This window comes from Homo sapiens, chromosome 8, assembly GCF_000001405.40.
Source record: "Homo sapiens chromosome 8, GRCh38.p14 Primary Assembly".
NCBI lineage: Eukaryota > Metazoa > Chordata > Mammalia > Primates > Hominidae > Homo > Homo sapiens.
In genome coordinates, this window is record NC_000008.11 from 51,868,786 (window position 1) to 51,890,696 (window position 21,911).

A 21,911-nucleotide genomic window follows, 5' to 3' on the forward strand; every position below is an offset into this window, starting at 1 on the left:
CTTTTTATTATACTCACTGATTTGATGATAATGTGCCTTTGCAGAAAACATGAAAATAAAGTAAAATTAAAATTTTCATAATGCTAGCATTCAAAGAACCACTGTCATTATTAACTTTTAAGGAACTATATACTTCGTTTTTTTAAACATATGACTGGTATTATACTGTATATATTGTTCAGGACTTTCACTTAATAAGCATTTCCTAATACCATGAGACATTCTTTCCAAATCCAGAAGTATGATATTCTACCACATGGATACAGCAGGATGTAACCAATTCCCCCAATGTTAGACTATGAATAATCAATATAATCAATATTAGAATTGATTATAATTGATGTACACTTGAGAAGCTCGTAAATCGACGTCTGTAGTGAATACTGTGATAATTCAATAATAATCCTAACTTGAAATGTACAATTTTTTTTATGAAAGTAAAATAAACACTAATAAAAACCCAGTGTAGCATTAGGTCATCAGTGTCTGCCATTTGTTACTTCTAAGATAATCTCATTTCAATCATGGAAAAGTCAAATACAAGTCAAGAGACCAAGGTGTAGCCACGGTTCCACAGATAACTTTGCTGTATTGATCCGGCCAAATCCCCAAAATGTCGTTTCCTCACCTGTGAAATAAAAAGGCTATATTCTGCAGCTCCTAAGGTCCCTCAGAGCTCTAATTTCCATGCTATTTCAGCATTGGTCAAATCTATAATTCAATATAATCAAGTTTTAGTTATCTAGTAATGGCTGCTGTCCATGCCTTGGCATTTCTGTTACTTCAGTCACAATTTTTACTGCCTCACTCCTGCCATTTTCTTTTCCACAAAGAAGAAACAATTTTAGGAGTGTTCAAGTCCTGCACTGAACAATAAAACCAAAATAAGGAATTTGAGAGAAAGACGAAAAAGGTAAATATAGAAAAAGATCAAGTGTAAGAACAGAATAAAAGGTTCAACAACTTAAGCAGTTACAGAGTTATGTCTGTTTGAGAAGGAAGTCATCATGTTTACTCATAAAACACAATTTCATTCCTTGGTATTTTTCTCTCTGCTGTGTGTTAGGTAAGGGCTGCAGAGAAAATAAAGGGTACACTCACATATACACACCTGAAACTATCTGCAAAGTGTTCCAAACGTTTCTTGCTATTATTCCAAAATTTAGAATTGTGACTTAAATCTATTTAGGAAAGAACTGTCAAAGGCCCCATACAATATTATGGTGTCTCTTAGGCAGTTTAAGGATGCCTTCTGGAGGATTAAGCACTGACAAGTTAAAGGAGGTAGGAAGCAGACCAATGGCAGACAGATGTTGCAAGGTGGGAGGAGAACAAAATGAATGCTGACTCACTTTCCTTTCCTCCTAGCACCCAGAGGGAAGCAGTCAACTGCTCCTTGCTGCTCCTTTCTCTGCAAAACTGAGGACTAAGCTCACCCAGCTCTAGAGGGAAGCTTACTCACCAGTGATCCAAAGGAAAACACAGTATGTTTGAACAAAGAATGCTCCTCATGTCCTCAAAGCTCTTGTCATGGGATTCATGGACCAAGCCTGCTTTAAGTGCAGAGGCAACTATACAGTGAAAAAATTCTTCTCAGTGATGGGGCTGATAAAGAGATATGATGAAATATAAATAAAGAATTATTAAAGAAAATAAATGGCTAAACTAAGGTTCACTACTCACTTGCCAAAAGCTGCAAAGAGCATCTACTTTACTCTATATTCAATGATGAATACAAATCTTAAATTTTGTTTAAGTAGTGATAACATATAGCAGCAATTTCCTATGTGCCTACTATATACCTAGCACTGTGCTCTAGTTCTTTACCATACTTCTATGAAGAGTCACAAGATCATATGAGAAGCTCACAGACCTTGAATAACTGAAACACAACTCAAATCCTGTCTGTGAAGCTATGAAACCCTCTGACACAGAACAATTTGCTCAGAGGCTCCTGACGCATAATTCAAAACTAAACTTTTCATTAACTTTTAGCTGAAAAGATGTTCAATTCAGCTGTCTCCTACAATCTCCCATTTTTTCTTTTTCCTTTTAGTACTCTCAGCTTCAAAGGAAGAATGAAGCAGCAGGGGGCGGGCCGGGGTGAGCATCTGATGTCATTTATTGGTCGTGCAGCCTCAGGCAAATTACTTAATGGGGGATCTCCAGTTTCTTTATCTATAAAATGAAAATAATTACATCATAAATTTGTGATGATTAAATAGTACACTGAATATAAAGTTTCTAACATATAGCTGGTCCAATAATACCAACTTTCTTTCATTTCTGTGACAGAAAGGGCACATTCTAAACTTTCATTTTTAAGCACAGAAGACTGGAAAGGGGAAACAAAAAAACACTGCTTCTCAAATCTAGCAAAGCTATCGCCTACTGACCTCCTTAAAGAGGAACTAAAGAGAGTGGAAATGGAAATCCTGAAGTGAGAGGTGTCTAAAAGAAAAACAGTCAAGGACAGTACATACAGAAGTCTGTGGAAGAAAACTTACATTCACACATAAGATGACTGCAAGAGAGAAGTTAAAGCGAAGAAAAGACAACACAGTTATCTTCTGCCATGCTCTGGGCCATCAACTGTGCTGAAGGGCTTAAATTAAGAGTAGCTGCCCTTCCGTGCTCACAGGGAGTCTCAGAAGGAAGGATGAGCTTACCTGGGCTAAGACAGCAGTCAGATACCAAAACTCTTTGGTTTAATTCCATCTCACTAGCTAACTTTTGCCCTGGCTAATACTTTTTCCTCTAATAGAGCATTTGTTACATAATTTAGCAAAAATTGTCTTGTAAAGTTTTCTTTGGTTCCACCTATCTTTTCTGTCCAGACTATAAACTCACTGAAGAGAAAAATAACATCTTATATTTAATATATTTATCACAGTTGCATGGTCTTAGCGAACATCTAAGAAACAACTGTTGACTAAGTGTAAAAACACATGAAAGTTATAGTTTTCTACTTTGGAAAGTCCTGTCAAATTTCAATGCTCCCAACGGCTACAGCAAAGTCGAAGTACATGAAGTATATGTTTTCTTCTATATTCTCTTGACTATCTTTCTTCCCCTACCCCTCCAATTCAATACTACATATAATTTTTTAAAAAGAAGCTCTCTTGGAAACATCCACATTACACATTTTGATACATGGTGAGTTTTAAGATGCCTATATTCACAGATGTAGCTTCCAACTTCCTCCACATCCTTTTAATTTTCATATTCCACTTGGCTTGGAAACAGTGTGAACTCCAAGATAGAGAAACAGTAGATGGTAGTTCTATGACAGTTTTAGCGTATAATATTTGAAGTGATAAAGTAATATATAAAACTTTAAAGGACAAGATATGAGGTTCATCTAGCTGAAATTTTATTATTTTGAAAGTTATAGGACTTTATGGATCCCCAAAGCCTTTCCTCCTCTCCCTTTTACTCAACACAAGACTTTTTCAAACCTATATTACCACACGTATCTCCCTAAACACAACTGCCTATTACCAACACCCTCTACATGCAAAGATCCACATATCTTTCAGCTAACAAAATTAATCCTCAGGGAATAATGGCCTCAGATTTAAGGATTACTGCTTAGTATTATCTGGATTTTTCAAGAAACAGAAGTGCTACACTAACCATCCTTAACACTTTTTAAAATATATATCCTTATGGGAACTGCAGCCTAGAAAAACCTTTAAAACAAGTTGTTCACCTCCTCTAACTCAGGAAAAGTCTATAAACAAAAATATGTTCATTAACTGCCAATAGTTCTTAGGATGTGTACTAAGATCAACAGGGAAGCATGATTGAAAAAAACAACACACATTTTCAGCTCCTCCTGGGTCAGGATTTCATAGTGGGGCTTATTTTATTTGAAAAGCTATGAATTTATAAAGAACAATATTCGAATATAAGAATATTCCAAAGCAAAAATGCACAACTGGGGACTACTCATCGCTTCAGATGATCTGTATCTGTTCCCTTCCATGAATATACCATAAACCAAAACATGAGCTCATATCAAATGTACTCTTTCCATATATTAATGTACTGTGGAATGCAAAACTGGCCTTGTCACACTATATGATTTTAAGTCATTATCTTTTCTGGCTTTGGTTTTTTCACCTGCAAAATAAAGTCATTAATTCAAATTATCTCAATGATTCCTTTAAGAACTTTCAAAAAATCTAAGCATATTTACTTATTTACAAAGACATACACAGGTTAACTACAAAGTTTTTGGACTTATAAAATGGCATCTTTCCAAAGTCCAAAATGCTAATTTTATCTACGGATGAACACAAGTGAAAGCTATATAAAACAAAATAGCTAAAGTATTATCCATAAGTTTTCAAAGCACTTTAACATCATTTCATACAATTTCTTAAGTACCATAGGAATAGAGGCAGGATGCAAAGTATTACCTGCACCATAAAAATAAAAACAGACTGAGAAAGAGTAAATTACTTGTTCTGGATTTCCCATACAATAAAGGGATATTTCAATCTTATTCATAAATCTTATGCACTACTAAAAATATTGTAAGAAGAAACCATAACAAAAAAAGTCTGAGACCCCTGAGAAATGCACACTTAAAAAATGATACTATAGTTTAATTTCATTTACTGGAGCAAATTATTCTATCCCTACTTTTCTGAATGAACCAGAGAAAGTTTAATCAATTCTTGAAAATATACTGTCATCATCAAATCATAGTAATGGTATAGGCTCTAAAGTGCTTGGAGGGTTACTGATATAGTTTTAATATTGTCACATCCCAAATCCCATGTTGAACTGTAATCCCCAATTGCAGGCAGTGATTGGATCGTGGAAGTGGATCTCTCCTGTCTTGGTGCTGTCCTCATGATAGGGAGTGAGTTCTCCTGCGATACGGTATTTTAAAAGTATACAGCACCTCCCCCTACGCTCTCTGGCTCCTGCTTTGGCCATGTAACCTGCTTCTTCCCGAGTCACCTTCCAGCATGAGTAAAAGCTTCTTGGGGCCTCGCCAGAAGCCAAACAGATGTCAGTACCCCACTTCCTGTAAAGCCTGAAGAACCATGAGCCAAACAAGCCTATTTTCTTTAAAAATTACCCAGGCTCAGGTATTTCTTTTTTTTTTCTTTTTCTTTTTCTTTTTTTTTTTGAGACAGACTCTTGCTCTGTCACCAGGGTGGAGTGCAGTGGCGCAATCTCAGCTCACTGCAAGCTCCGCCTCCCGGGTTCAAGCAATTCACCTGCCTCAGCCTCCCAAGTAGCACGCACCACCACGCCTGGCTAATTTTTTGTATTTTAGTAGAGATGGGGTTTCACCATGTTGGCCAAGATGGTCTTGATCTCCTCACCTCCTGATCCGCCCACCTTGGCCTGCCAAATGCTCAGGTATTTCTCTATAGCAATGCCAGACTTGAACCTTAAATTATTAATCTGTCATCAATGATTCCATGAGTCAATAAAACTCACTTAAAGAACACCATCCAAACTGAGTAACCAAAATGTTTGTGAAAGCTTTTTAAACTACAGTTCAGAACTTCCCCCACCACCCCACCCATCCCCCGCCCCCGGGGCTGCATTTAACAACTCCTTCAACATGGAACCACCAAGTTAAGAAAGACTCAGGCACACCAGGGAAAGAATTTCAAAGAATGGTTTCAGGTCCCAGAGATAGTCTTTGCTCCAGAAAACCAGTCTCTTAAATGGTTACTGTATTTTCAATAAACTGTTTAAAAATTACTTTCAACTTGGTTATAATAAATTCATAAAACTAAAGACCTTTAAAATCATAAAGAATTATTTCATATTAATTGGTCTTCAAACTGTAAATAGCAGCCAAACAGTGTAAAATTACCTTTATTAACAGTGTATTTCAAAATACACTTCATATTTTAAATTCAACAAGTGCTCTCAAATGCTCTTTAAAATGCTTTCAATAAAAAATTACTCAACAGCATTACCTAGCATTTGGATATTTAAATTTTTAAGTGTCTTATACAAAAAGATTTCATGTGATGTTTTCCCCATTCAATAAACAAAAACTGATCACTTGTTTATGCCTCAGGAACTATAATAAGTATGAGGATTCAGGGACCATACTCCAGAAGCTAAACTCAACTTAAAGAGCTCTCTTATGAGGTAAGAACTGCAGAACAGATCACTCCATTTCATTAAGAAATTGAGCCTCAGCAGTTGCCTTGTTCAAGATGACACAAGTTAGTTGCAAGTTATATATTCTCAGAAAAGAGAAAACCTACTTCAAATATTAGAACACAGGAATACAAGGCCAAAAAGATCTAATGTATTCATTTGCTTGTATTTCTTAAAACTAAGTAAACATAATGCTTCTTTTAAAAAGAATTTCTTTATTTCAATATTCCAGTTACTTACAGTAACTAATATGACAGAAACTTATGACAGCTTGTAGAACATTTTAAGGAAAAAAATACCAAAAAGTGAAGCACTATAGAAAACAAAGTCAGGTTTTCCTATTATTTTTATTCTTAAGGGATTCACTCTCTTCACAGAAAAACTTCATGAATTATTTTCAACCTCCAAACACATATTATATAATTCAATTTAGTAAGTATTATCTAGACTAAATCCACACAGGTTATGGTGGTAAGTCACGACACTCAACAAATGTAAAATTCTACTGGTCACAATTCAATAGGATTTATATCAGTAGGAATATAATTTAATGTTACTTAATTCACTTGCTACTCCTTAGAAGGATCATTTGTAGAATGAATATTAGTATATCAAATCATAATTTCATATCAAGTTGTATGTTCATTATAAGTCATAGTCTAACAGAAAGTGCTCTTTTCAACATAAATAAAAATTACACGTAAGTAAAGGATCATATAGTGTGGGTGTTTGGACCAGTGGCTCATGCCTATAATCTCAGCACTCTGGGAAGCCAAGGAGGGAGGACAACTGGAGTTTGAGACCAACGTGGGCAACATGGAGAGACCTCATCTTTACAAAAAAAATTTAAGAATCAGCCAGGCATGGTGGCACATACCTGCAGTCCCAGCTACTTAGAAGGCCGAGACAGAAGGATCACTTGTGCCCAGGAGTTCAAGGCTGCAGTGAGCTATGACTGCACCACTGCACTCCAACATGGGTAACAGAGCAAGACCATCTCAAAAATGTGTTTGTGTGTGTGTGTGTGTGTGTCTGTGTGTGTGTGTGTGCATGTGCGTGCACGCATGCGTGTGTTATCACTATTATATCATTACTGATGTAATATATATAAACTGTCTACAATAGTCCCTGATGCCTACCACATGCTCAATAGGTGTCGCTTCTATTACTTAATACAGAAACTACTTAATCCTTCCATAAACAAACATATTACCATTTCAAGAAACATTAGTCAAGTTGATAAAACCGGGAGATTTTTGTACAGTTACTAAATACGCATAAAATACTTTTGATTTTAGGTGCCAATTTTCAACAAGATCTCAGCAGCTTCATGGTGTTTCTGAGGGAAAACAAAGCATGGAAAGATTGGGTATAGCCTAGACTATATCCTATGATGATGGATGGAAATGGAGGAGTCAGTGGGAAGTCAACAGTTTGAGTTTTAAAATATACATAAACACACACACAAAAAAAAATAGAAAACTGCAGAAATACACACATATACATATTTTTCCTTGCTTATGAAGGCCTAGAATACACAGGCAGATGTAAGAAACCCACCAGTAACCATAAGAAAATCTAGCACCCAGAGCTGGGTTTCTAAATACTGTTCTCCTAGCCAAAGAAAAGAAACTAGGGTTCCTTGGTAAAATGGCTGACTCTAAAATTCAGGCAGGGAAAATATGAGTCTGAAACACCTTCTTAAGACAAAATATGGAAGTCCTCAAAAAATGAGATGTCAAAGATAAAGAAGCCAGCTTGAAGAGTCCTCTGTTGGCCAAACTGAATACATTTTGGGAATCTAAACAAGAGATTGATGATAATAGTCATAAAATAAAATGAGAATCAAAGAGTCCATACCTAAATGATGAATGAACAAATAAGTTGGGGGAGAAGGAAAAGCTCTCACAGTAGAATGGCAACTAATAAATGTAGAAGAAATAATGGTGTTAGAAAAACACCAATGGATGCTAAAACCAGTGTGTGAAAATTTGGTGAGGAACAGGATTATCTGCGTAATCTCAAAGTATCTCTCCACAAATTACCAATTAATAAAGGAACAAAATAGTAACTTCACAATGGAGAAACCCAATGAATGCCATCTGAAGTAGTCAAAACTAACTTCACCAACATTGGGCCTGTATGAAATGCTTGCTTCTTGGTGCCGTTAAGAACTAGTATTTGAATATAAATTTAATTTTTTTAGCAAGGTCATTTTTTTACTTTTTGTAGAAAGCGTACACTCGCCGGCAGTTTTGCCATGAGAGTACACCGAACAAAGGAGACAGGGTCATTTATAACCTGATGCGGTCACTTTACTGCTCTGTCCGGTTTTCACTGGCTGCAACAGGACCTTACATTTTATATCTGTCCTGATTGGATAGTAACTCAGAACTTTTTAAAAGAGGCAAAGGTAGAGGAGAACAAAGGAAGGAGGAAGTAACTTGCAGGATGCTGAGAAAGGTAAAAACGCTTTTAAATAAAGAAGAGGAACGGCTATGACAATGTTTGCTTGGATTCAGTATAAGCATGCTAGGGCAAATATTTAGGCTAAATTGTGGGAGCTAAGAACATAAAGTACATTAATTTTTTTATTACGGCTAGCAGATATTTCAGAATGTTAGTACAGGTCTTTGAATTAATTTTGCTTTTAAGAGAAGTTACTATTTATTCCTAATTACATGGGGAGGAAAGTCTTTGAAGAGGAACCTTTACTTTACTTTACTTTTCATAGGCCAAACCAATGCACCTACTGATATATGCCCTGAGATGGACACTCATCACATCAGTGATATTATTCCTGGACTAGATCATAAACTAAGGGGGAAAAAGATACCTACAGGACACATTATTGAAAACAAGTGGCAGAATATGAATACAGGTTATATATAAATGGCATTGTATCATTATTAAAGTTCCTGATTTTAATAACTATACTGCGCTTCTCTAAGAAAACATCCTTGTTCTTGGAAAATATGTACTAAAGTTAAAAAAAAATTCTACTCCAAACTACTCCAAATGGTGCAGAAAACTCTGTGTGTGTGTAATAAAGCAAATGCATCAAAATGCAAGCAACTAATGAATCTAAGCAAAGGGTATACTGGAGTTCCTTGTACTGTTGTGCCAGTTCTTCTACAAGCTTGAAATTCTATCAAAATAAAAAGATACATAAATGTAAGCCATTGTGACTCTAAGCAAACGGTGTATAGCAAGCTTGTCCAACCCACAGCCCATGGGTCACATGCAGCCCAGGATGGCTTTGAATGCAGCCAAACACAAATTCGTAAACTTTCTTAAAATATTATGAGATTTTTTTTTTGGTTTTTTTTTTTTTTTAGCTCATCAGCTATCCTTAGCATTAGTGTATTTTACGTGTGGCCCATGACAATCTTTTTCCAATGTGGCCTGGGGAAGCCAAAAGATTGGACACCCCTGGTGTACAGGAAGAAGTTCCTTGTGCTATTTCTCACAATTTTTCTTTAAGTTTGAAACTATTTCAAAATGAAGTTATATAACTACATGAATTGTGAGTTAAAATGCAAGCAAGATCTTCATGCCTGTAATCCCAGCACTTTGGGAGGCTGAGGCAGGAGGACTGTTTGAGCCTAGGAGTTTGAGAACAGCCTGGGCAACATAGTGAGACCCTCATCTCTACAAAAAATTTAAAAAATTAGCCAGGCATGGTGGCTCGTGACTATAGTCCCAGCTACTCAGGAAATGGAGGTAGGATGATCCCTTGAGCCCAAGAGGTGAAGGCTGCAGCAAGCTGTGATCACATCACTATATTCCAGCCTGGATGATAGAGTGAAACCCTGTCTCAAAAACAAATAAAGCCTAAGGGAATATGCAGATTAATGGAAGAGAAGGCTATTTTGTGCAGACAGGAAACAGATGAAAGACAATTTGACTTTTAAAACTATGAGTAAGGCTCATGCCTATAATCCCAGCACTTTGGGAGGTCAAGGTGTGAGGACTGCTTGAGCCCAGGAGTTCGAGACCAGCCCTGGCAAAACAGTGAGACCCTATTTCTATAAAACATTTAAAATATTAGCCAGGTGTGGTAATGTGCACCTGTGATCCCAGCGACTCGGAACTCTGAGGTGGGAAGATTGCTTGAGCCTGGGAGGTCAAGGCTGCAGTGGGCCGTAGTCATGCCACTGTAGTCTGGCCTGGGAGACAGAGCAAGACCCTGTGTCTCAAAAGAAAAAAGAAAAAAAGCAAGAACTGAGCAATCAGCAAAGATAATTCCTTCACAGTATATATGTCCTAAAGCTCACTCCTAGATCTGTCACTTGAGGGGAAAAAAAAAAAAGAAAAATCACCTTAGGAATGAATGTCATATTGTTATTCTCAGTTTAAGTTAGAAAAAAGTGGCATGACTAAAAAAAAATAAAGTTGGAAATGTAACAGGAAACTTATAAGAGCCAAAACCAAATCATAGGAACAAACTATAACAAATCAACAAAGCTTTAAAGAAAATGGTAAATTAAAACTAAAGTCAGTATATTCGTGTTCATGATTGTCCCATCAAACTATCATTTAAGAATCTGAGGTGGGCTATAGGAATTCATATATAAATCAGGTCAAGGAAAACAAAGATTAATAGGAAAATGAAACTATGTGAAAACTGAGTACTTACAATTTACAAGTCAACAGGTTCTCCTCAATTAAAGCTCAGTCACAAAACACCTGCCTCTGAGCAACCAAAGCAAAATAAAATAACCAATAAAAAAGTGAGACAACTATGTATCTCATTTCAGGTAGAGAAGACATTCTAAATTAAAAAGCCACAGGCAAAACGTAAAAATGATAAAAATGATGTATTCTATCTGGCAAAGCACACAGTAAAACATCAAAATACAAAAACCAAACTGGGGGAAAAAATTGCAACATGTGGCAAAGGGTTGATAGCCAAATTTATAAGAATTATTTACAAAGAAACATTTTTAATTTTTTTAATAAAAGGGCAAAGGCCAGGTGCAGTGGCTCATGCCTATAATCCCAGAACCTTGGAATGCCAAGGCTGGAGGATTGCTTGAGGCCAGGAGTTAGAGATCAACCTAGGCAACATAGCGAGACCATCATCTCTAACCAAAAAAAAAAAGTTTAAAAAAAAAAATAGCCAGGCAAAGTGGTGGCATGTACCTGAAGTCCCAGCTACTCAGGAGGTTGAGGCAGGGGGATCCCTTGGGACCAGGAGTTTGAGGTTACAGTGAGCTACAATAGCACCACTGCACTCCAGCCTGGGCAACACAGCAAGATCCTGTCTCCTTTTAATGAAAAAAAAAAGAGGGGAGGGGGGCAGAGGAGACAATAGGTATTTGCCAGAAGAATTACTAAACCACCAGTAAATATGAAATTATGCCCAACCTCAGTGGCAATTAAAATGCAAAATTAGAAAGACAACTTTAGGCCTATAAGATTCATAATGATGTTTTTAAAAAAAACTTATTGAAAAAGGTATAGGAAAACATGTTTTGTATTTTCATCTCTTACTATGTTTTCTTACATATTAATAATAATCCCCCACTTCCTATCCTTAGGAAATATCAACTCTTCCACCTTTATTGGGAACTCTAGCATCTCTACTGTAGTCTTCTCTACTCCCCAACTCATACCATAATCAGGGGCATCCTCAACGTACATGAACAACCTTTTCAATCTCCAAAGGAACAACTATGACACCTTTAACTGAGGACTTATATCACCCAATTGTCCAACCTGAATCCTTACTTTTTTCTCTGACCTGATTTTATGTCTACTTTGCTTGTTGTCTGCCACTACAGTCAATGTCACTAGTACTCTACCCCAAGGATCAGCAAACTTTTTCTGAAAAGGCCAGTTAATAAACATTTTAGGATTTGCAGGCAATAGTTTCTGTCCCAACTACTGAACACCACTGTTGTAAGGCAAAAGTAGCTATAGACAACTTAAAAGTTAAAGAGTATGGCTTTGTTCCAATACAATTTTATTTCTGGACACTAAAATTGGAATGTCATATCATTTTCATGTCATAAAATAGTCTTCCAACCATTTGAAAGTAAACACCATTCTTAGTTTGCAGACCACACAAAAAAAGACAGTAGTCCAAGTTTGGCCCATGGGCTACAACCGGCTAACACCTACTCTCATCTTCTTCCCAAATCAACCCCACGAACACTGCTTCACTTACTGAGTCTTCATTACTCTCAATCCTTCATTCTAACTTTCTGCTTCACTCATCTTGCAAACTTCTGATCATGGAACAAGCCAATAATCTCTCTTCTCCATGGACTGTTTTATATTGTGAAGTGTTACTTAAGAAAGAAATCCAGTGCCTGTGTTGGTGGTGCCACTAAACATTTATATTCTTCAAGCTTAACTGGATTTTCAATAATGCCCAGCAATATCTCTTGTGTTTATTTACCTCTGGCTCCCACCTGCACAGCAAATTCATTACCACTACTACAACCAACAACCCCTCAAGACTAGGCTCCACAAGGGTCCTTCTTCGTCCTCCACAGAAAAACAGGTCATAAGACAAAACGCCTCAATTTGCCAGACTGTCATCCTAATCCCATCCCATTAGACAAGAATATTACAAATATGATAGCATCTATATTTACATCTACAGACAGGCAGAGTGTAGTAAGTTCAACCTTCATTTGGAGCCCAACAGATCTGATTTTGTCCAACTTAATTAATAATTACTACACTTAGTAGTTGCCTGGCATTCAACCAACTGTTTTAGAATTGTCTTTTAATTATTCTTCAAAAAAACCTTCAAGGTAGGTTTTATTATACCCATTTTACAAAGAAAAAAATTTAGAGCTGGGCTTAAAACCTCGGTGTAAGTCAAAAGCCACAGAACTTTGCTCATATCTGGGCTCCATTTTTTTCGATTTCAAAAGTGCATTATCTAATCTGAGCCCTGAATACTATTTCAGGGGCACCTCCAGCCATCTCTCCTCCCACAGCCTTTGCTGAAGTTCCCTTAACCACAATAAACTTCTTCAAGCATCCATGTTTTTGCATATGCATTAAGTCTCTACCTAGAAAGTTCTCCCTGTTCACTCAGATGCCACTAATGAGTCCCCCTCCTCTTAGAAATCTCTAAGTCCAACCCCAAAACACTTATAAGCCTTAGTCTTTTCAGGCGTCATAACAAAGTACCATAGACTGGGTGCCTTAAACAACCCAAATTTATTTTCTCAAGCTAGAAGTCCAAGATCAAAGTGCCAACAGAATCACTTTCTGGTAAGGCCTCTAGGCCTCTCTTCCTGGCTTGCCGATGGTCACCATCTTGCTGTGTTCTCACATGACCTCTTCTTTGTACACACAAAAAAGCATGAGGGAGCTCTCTGGTGTCACTTTTTAAAATGACGCTATTGGATCAGGGCCTCACCATTATGATCTTAATTACTTCCTCGGAAGCCCCGTATTCAAGTACAGCTGCACTGGGCATGGGGTAGGGGGCGGTCAGGGTTTCAACACGTGACTTTTAGGGGGACATGAACATTCAATTCATAACTGTACCTTCTTTCAAAAGCTCTCAAACACCCGCCTATGTATCTCTGTATCATCTCTCCACAAAGTGATTATCCTGTTTCCCACCCACTTGACTGTGGCCTCTTCAAAGTAAGGGTCTATATGCTAGTCACTTGTTTACTTCTGACACTTAGTTGAATGCCTTATAACAAAGATATTATTCAAGATCCCTGCTAATGAGTAACTGAGTGTAGTTTCTCAGTTATTTAAGATCATGAAAAGAACAGAAGACATATATCTATGTACTTGACAAATTATACACTCCACTGGACATTAACATAGCCTGTTTGGGGTATTATATTTCATTGGAGAGAAAACGCAAGTCTTTAAAAGCTTACAATTTAGTTATGAATAGCATACTTAAAAAAAAAAAAAAAGAAATAAAAAACGGCCGGACGCAGTGGCTCACACCTATAATCCCAGCACTTTGGGAGGCCGAGGCAGGCGGATCACGAGGTCAGGAGATAGAGACCATGCTTGCTAACACGGTGAAACTCCGTCTTTACTAAAAATACAAAAAAAAAAAAAAAATTAGCCAGGCGTGGTGGTGGGCGCCTGTAGTCCCAGCTACTCAGGAAGCTGAGGCGGGAGAATGGCGTGAACCCAGGAGGCAGAGCTTGCAGTGAGCTGAGATCGCGCCACTGGACTCCAGCCTGGGCGACACAGCGAGATTCCGTCTCAAAAAAAAAGAACAGACAAAAAAAGTAAGGTAAATGCTTCAGAGTTCAAAATGAGAGCAAATCAACAAGGAATATAATAGCTAGATGGAATAAAACCTATGAAACCAAAAGTATTATCATCAGATTATAAAGTATTTAAACTTGTAATTTTCCATGGCCTGAATTAAATTAAGTAGCAAAGACTGTAGTACAGATGCCACAGTTCCCATTAAAGGTGAAAGAGTTGATACTTCAGTGTCCTAAGGCTAGCAAGTGGGGAGATTGTTATTAAGAGTAAAATGTATATATATGCATATATAGATAATAATAGAGGGACACACACAAAAACACAGGGAGAGCAAAGAAATTCAACAGATTTTCTTCTTAATTATTAATGCAATATTAAACCACAGTAAATCTCACAAAAGAGTAAACAGTTTTATAAATATTATTAAGTATAAGGAGGTACAAAAAGGTTGACAAATGCCCGATATTTTTAAAACGTGTTCAGAAAGTCAAACTGAAAACAACCAAGGTATGTGTATTTTCTAAATCATTCCCTTGATGTACAGACCTAGGCTAGCATAAGGTTACAAGAGCTTTTTTTTGGCATCTGAATTCTCTGCAGTTGAATTACTGTGACAAAAGCAACAAAATGAGGCCAAGTAAAAATCAGTCGTATTATGTTGTTGACATTTAAAAACCTCATTCCAGAACTTTAAAACCATTTGCATTTACAAAAACAAAGACATAGTTCATAAATATTCCCGTGCAAATAAACCCAAACAAAATAGGCACTTTGATATTTGTGAAAGCAGGTCAACAGAAATAATTATAAAGAAAATCATAAAATTATCTAGTTCGCTGTCATGCATCAGACAAAACTACTTGTTCAAGGGCATACTGAAAGAATTTGTGGCTCCGTGTCTTGAGTTTCTTTTCAATACATCCTAAAATAAAAGCTACAAAATGTGACATTTTCTGAGATAAAATGCCTTCTTTGGGTGTGTTGCTGTCTGCTGAACATTACCTATCAGTTGAGATTGAGACAGTGTTAAAGCCTTATATTATTAAAATAAACCAGGTGTACCTCTTAAAGCTATAGACAGAGCCACTGATCTGAGTCAGTGTGGTAAAAACAAGCAGTGCCTAAATATTTGGTCCAGGACTATGGCTCCATTTTTATATTTCAGTATGAGAGAATACCGGAAGCAAGCAGGAAATAGCCACTATCAGCTGACTGGGAACAATCAAACACAAAAGCAGGAATTGGCCTCTAAGTCAAAAGGAATGTACCATCATTTTACCTAAAAGAAAAGTTTCTGAATGGCAAAAGGGAATAAAGTAACAAGTATGTTCTTCAAGAAAATCCTAGTGTAGTAATATGCTGCCCTGATCCCACCAGGGATTAGGCACAAAGAAATAGTCTTTTTAATACCCACTGTCTCAATCCCAACTGATAGGTAATGTTCAGCAGACAGCACTGGAGAAAACACTGCAAGGGGAAAGGACTTTGTTTCCCGGCCTGGTGCAATGCTTGGCAGGCTTCCCCAGCACGAGGATGCTGCAGTGCAGGACAATAGACAGCTTTCCCCAGCACTCTCTTTTGGACAGTTTGTAGAACACAACCTCTAGCAAAATGCCTCTCTATGAACATCTTTCTATGGTATCCTAGAGGATAGATTTCTGGCAAATTCCATCAACTTCTCTGCCATCCAATAAGCCATTGAGGTACCCTCTCCAACAAGACCTGTTCTCAGCCTGGGATGGGCCTCTTCTTTGGGTGCTCAATTGTAGTTCTGTAAGTAGTGGCTGTTTCTTAACATCTATTTCTATATCCTGTAGCACTCTCTGTACTTCCTACTGGTTCTGTTACAGTAAATAATCCTTTACACTAAACATTCTCTGCTCAAATTACTGCATGATTTCTCTTTCCTGACTGGACCCAGATTTATATAATCCTGAAAACCAGAAAGACTACACACAAGCCACCGAAATAAAGACAGCAGTTGAGCAATAAAATTAACTAAAATACAACAGATACTGATACTTGGCTAAAGCATCCACAACCTCCTCAATTTAACTTAAATTACTATATCCCACAAACATTCTCTCATCCTTTTAACTTTAACTTCTAAGTATTGGGGGGCGGGGAGGATATCTTCGCTTCTTGGCAAAATTTTAAACACCTGTCACCACATTTTCTGTGTTAAGAGAGCTGTCACAATGATCAGAGAGGGGAAGTTAGACGCCAGCCCTGACTAAGAGTACTGAGGGTGGCAGTTACCAATTCTGCCATCTTCAAGTTCCTGCCTAGGACAATATATCATACAAACTTTTAGACAGGAGGATGCCTTAGTGGCTTCATCTACTGCAGTCGGCTTGAAAAGAACTTGTTAACTGAAGCACATGTTCTTTCTGGTGCCCTTGCTTCTCTCCTATAAACTTACATGATTATTAACACACATGGGAAATGACAAAATAAAACCACTGAAAAACTCCTTAAATTTCATGTAGGCATAGGTAGGCAGACTAAAAATACAAATTCACAAAGGAGCTATCTGCAGAAAAACAATTTTACAATAAAGCAACAGTAAATGACACTAAATAAATCACATACTTTGCCACTGTATTAAAATGCAATACACTCAACACCACAGAAGAGTGGTAACTGTCGGATAGACAGCCTTATGTCTCTACAGGGGCATACGTTGTTTGTGCTGGGTCAGAAGGTTATATGTGTTTTGGAAAAACAAAAACACTTTCAAAGATAGCAATTTTTTGTAATTTGTGTTATCCAATGACATTACTATAATTTCTCCTTTAACAACTAGTGAGCATTGGAAATGCATTTTTAAATGTGTACTTACAGTGAATGCACAAGGATATTCTTTCCTACTAAGAACAAAGACTATGTACAGTTTCTTAAAGCACAAGGCTCTTTCCTCCAAACTGGTAAGAATCCTTGCAGCAAATCCACAAGGACCTCAACTTCTGTCTGCTTTTCTGCAATTTAAATAGCTGTTAATTTCGTCCCTTCCTCCAACATATTGCCGAAGAGACTTCAGAACAGCTATTTTTCCTTTCCCCTGTTCGACTTATTCAAAATCATCATCCTCTTTAGCTGAAATTTTCCAGTGCATTCAGTAAGTTTCTAGATTAATTTCACTGGGGAGGAAAGTTCTATCATTTCAAATTTAGAATATTTAAAACTATAGCCCCTCACCTTTCAGACCAGCTACTCTTTAATTACTCCCATTCCCCTTAGTGAAAAGCCCTTTTGTCAATACCCCTATCAATTTTTGCTAGATTACTGCAATGAACTTCAAGATGATCATACCTGTAGTTATCCCAATTTCAATGGGATTCCTATATGCCATTTTGATTCATCTGCCCAGTATACAACTTTTATCAATAAAGAAAGCAGCTCCAAAAATCCACAGGTGCCCCCAAGATTCTACAAAAATGGGAAGAAATCTCACCTGGCAGGACTCAATGCCACCCCCATTTAAACACAGCTGCACTAGTTTTATCAGTTTTATAAATGTCATCTTAATCTTTTGTTGGGGAGAGGCTGTTTAGAAATCATTTCCATAAGGAATCAAATGGCCACAGTATATTTACCTGTATTAGTTTTCTATCACTGTCATAGCAAATTAGCATAAACCTAATGGCTTAAAACCACACAAGTTTATTATCTGATAGTTCTGGAGGTCAGAAGTCTGACACAGGCTTCATGATACAAGTCTCACTGGGTTAAGATCAAGGTGTTGGGGAGACTGTTCCTTTCTGAAGGTTCTTTAGGAGAAATCTGTTCCCTCGCATCAGTGTCTAGTGTCCATCTGCTTTTTTTTTTTCTCTCTTGCCTCATGGCCCTTTCTTTCTTCCATCTGCAAAGCAAGAAACATGACGCTGATTCCTTTTCTGCTGTCTCTCTGGTTCTCTCGCTCTGCCTCCTCCTTCCATTTTTAAGGACCCTTATGATTACACTGGGCTTATCGGGATAATCCAGGATAATCTTCCTATCTTAAACTGATTAGCAACTTTAATTCATCTGCAACCTTAATTCCCCTTTGCCATATAAGGTCACATATTCGCAGGTTCCAGGGATTAGAACATGGACCTCTTTGGGGGGCTACTATTTGCCTAGCACACTACCCAAACTTTGACTCCTACTCTTCAGGGTAATGCTGTTCCATAGAGAATCAGATACAATCCATCTTAAAATGTATACCGGCAGCCCAAATCCATCCCTTCTCCCATTTCTCATCCAGCATACAGGTGAAGAAACAATATGGCAGAAAGGATCAGCAGAAGAAATATGCTTATTATTACTTGACAGACTTGGAATTTATTTTCTCTTACAGGTAAATAACGCAAGGTTATATTCTTAAGATAGTCTAAAATCCTCTAACTAAAGCAATAACTATGTATAAACTAACTGAACACCCTGAAACTCAATTTTAAGTAGCAACTAGAAACTGCAAAAAAACAAAACTATCAATCATTTGGTATGGTAATTATCAAGCCATGCAATCATTTTCCTCGTTTAAAATAAATTAAAAAAAAAAAAGAGTACGCTCAGTCCCAATATTTGAGAACAGTTTCACAAAAAAGTTTTCATAATTTCTTTTTTTTTTTTTTTGAGACAGAGTCTTGCTCTGTCACCAGGCTGGAGTGCAGTGGCACGATCTCAGCTCACTGCAACCTCTGCCTCCCGGGTTCAAGCGATTCTCCTGCCTCAGCCTCTCAAGTAGCTGGGATTACAGGCACGTGCCAACCACACTCAGCTAATTTTTTTGTATTTTTAGTAGAGACGGAGTTTCACCATGTTGGCCAGGATGGTCTCAATCTCTTGACCTCGTGATCCGCCCACCTCGGCCTCCAAAAGTGCTGGGATTACAGGCATGAGCCACCGTGCCCGGCCAAGTTTTCATAATTTCTAATATCTTACTCTATTAGAAGAAACTGTGCCTAAATATAAACTTCAAGTTTAAAACTGTTTAGAGTTCATTCCTAACTCCTGACCTTACTTTTAGGGTAGTAGAAAGCTACCATATAGATTCATTCTGAGTGCTTACAGAAGTTCAGTTCAATAGAGTAAGACCCTGTATATGATGGTCCATACCTTTCCTTAGCTGTTGACATCCAACAGGATATAGTAGCAGATTCAAAATTGTCAATTCAATGCAGGAGGATTCCAGGTTGGCCTCAAGAGGGAGCATCCTTTTAAAAATAGATTCCCCTTCAGGTAAATGACTTTTGTGTATCACAAAAAAATGAATGGGAAGATACACTAGATAACAAAATATTAAGACATTTAGGAGCAGGACCTGATTTTCGTAATGCTCCCACAGTAGAAGGCACTAAAGGGTATGAAAACAAACAAGCAGGCCCTGACCTTTATAAATAAGCTTTGGGTTAACAATGAGAAAGAGACCCAGAATCAAATATATGCATGAAAGTCTGAACTCATAGCCTTTATTTTACCATTGGCCATTAACCTTTCTATGACCTACTTAGTTTTAAGAATCAAATGAAATAATGTGCACATTCAAATTTAGTCATTTTTATCTAGCACCGAGTAAAACAAATTAATGTTACTGGTAACTGAAAAATACTCCTTTAAGTTGCAAAGATTAAAAACAAAGTAATGAAAGTCTTTATATAGTGTATTAGTTCTACAGTCTTAGCAAATTATCCCGCATAACTCAACCATTTCTTAGTGGCTGAGGGTCATTATGAGGAACAGTATGATAATGGTATGTCACGAGCACCTCAGAGACCAACACACACAGTAAAAGCATTCCACCATCTGGAACTGCTTTGCTCTCTCACTGCAGTAACTTCTCGTTTCTTTTTTGTGTGACTAGATGATTCAAATCTGCTTTATTTTACACACAACTATGGTGGGTCTAGTGTGACTCCAAAGTCTGTCCCTGACTATATAGGACACATTCTCCTTGCTTTTCCTAGGCCTTTTGTTGTTATTGTTAACTCCTCACTCACTGCCTACAATATTGGTAAGAGAGCATGAGGTTATCAGTCCAAGTTTGGCCTCTACTTAAAACGGATATTGCTTCTAGGTTAGGTCCGTCACTTTCTATCAAGTGTTAACTGACCTCATAATCTCTGAAAAGTAGTATACGACTCACAAAATAATATATAACCTTTATTACTGATTATTAATGCAACTATCATTAATTGAGCACTTACAGCATAAAGCTTTGAGGTGTTTTAAGTATATTAACTCATTTAAGTCTTCATAAAATTTCATGTAACAGCATTATTTTTAGGGATGGGAAACGAAGGAAAGGGATTAAATAACTTCCTTAAGCTTTTACAGCTAGTAGGAGGCAAAACTGAGGTTGAGTTCTAGATCTATCTGACACCAAACCCTGTGTCCCTCAACACTGTTGATTGCTGAGTCTGGTATCATCATTTTATAGAAAATAAAGCAGACTGAGGAAACTGAAGTCATTCTGAGTCTTAGTTCATGCATCTATAAAATGGGAATAACAATACTTTCCTACCTCTTTGACAAGATGCAAAGTTATACGAAAATGTGAAAATGTGGAAAGTATCAAATTTAACAGGGTCTCATGCTGACTACACAATGCCAGGAAGCACTATTCCCACATAAAGTGTCAGTTTTCCTGAAGCAGTAAAGGGAATGTCATTTATATTAGATTCTATGTTAATAGTGTCTCCTGAGCTGTGCACCACAAATGGCCATATGTAAGGATATACGTGTGTGTGTGTGTGTGTGTGTGTGTGTACACACAAAAATATATATTAGTGTGAAGTGAATTAATTTTATTGTGCTGCCTAGATACAATAAAACCAGTGATAACTAAACAGTGATAACTGAACAAGTCCTTAACAAAAAAAAAAAAAAAAGCTTATATAAAGCCTTTTTGTCATAAATAATGAGGTAATTAAACTACTTTAAGTCCATGGTGATTACCTCCCTTTTCTTTAAAGCCAAATCAACTGCATGAATGGTTATATTCACAGATATTTATATAGATCATTGTAGAAATGCCTACATCTATTTCTAATTTCTCTGGTTCATAAAAGAATAAAGGTTCAAATTACTCTATTTACAGGGAAAAGTCAAGCCTATTAAAAACGGTTTAGATGTATTTAAAATAATTCTTTCACAATGGGATTTACAATGCCTGGTAAATCAGTATATATCACTGCTAGGCTTTTCCTTGAAACTAAAATTAGAGTGACTGCCTTTGCATGTTCCAAAATTTGTTCTTATCCAGTTGAGTATGAAGACTGACCAGAAAATTTAAAATCCGCTCTAGCCGCCAAGACACTACAATGAAAACATGAAAATTTAGAATACCGAGACTTACAGGAGTAACAGGGATAAACCATCCTTCTAAAACAAAGACTGTTTTGCATTTGCTTTTTGAGCTATGACATTTCTAAATAGTTCCTTCTACTCAAGGCCCAGTATTTTAAATATGGACTACAAAGATATAATGATACATAATCAGAACAAAACCTCTGCACTACTTACGCAGTAGCAGTGACAGAGAAGCACCGACTGATCCATCCACCAGCACA

At 37.1% G+C, this 21,911-nt stretch overlaps 1 protein-coding gene across 6 annotated transcripts in view; it reads right to left on the minus strand.

The window, feature by feature from the left end:
- The window catches only part of PCMTD1 (protein-L-isoaspartate (D-aspartate) O-methyltransferase domain containing 1), an 81,612-nt gene that overhangs the window by 51,211 nt on the left and 8,490 nt on the right, over positions 1-21,911 (minus strand). The window contains exon 1 of one of the 6 annotated variants that reach the window (XM_047421323.1): positions 1-21,911. This exon is cut by the window's right edge and continues 7,680 nt beyond it. The exons of the other annotated variants lie outside the window; for them this stretch is intronic. The gene's annotated coding sequence lies outside the window, so the exon portion shown is untranslated. 6 annotated transcript variants of the gene reach the window in all.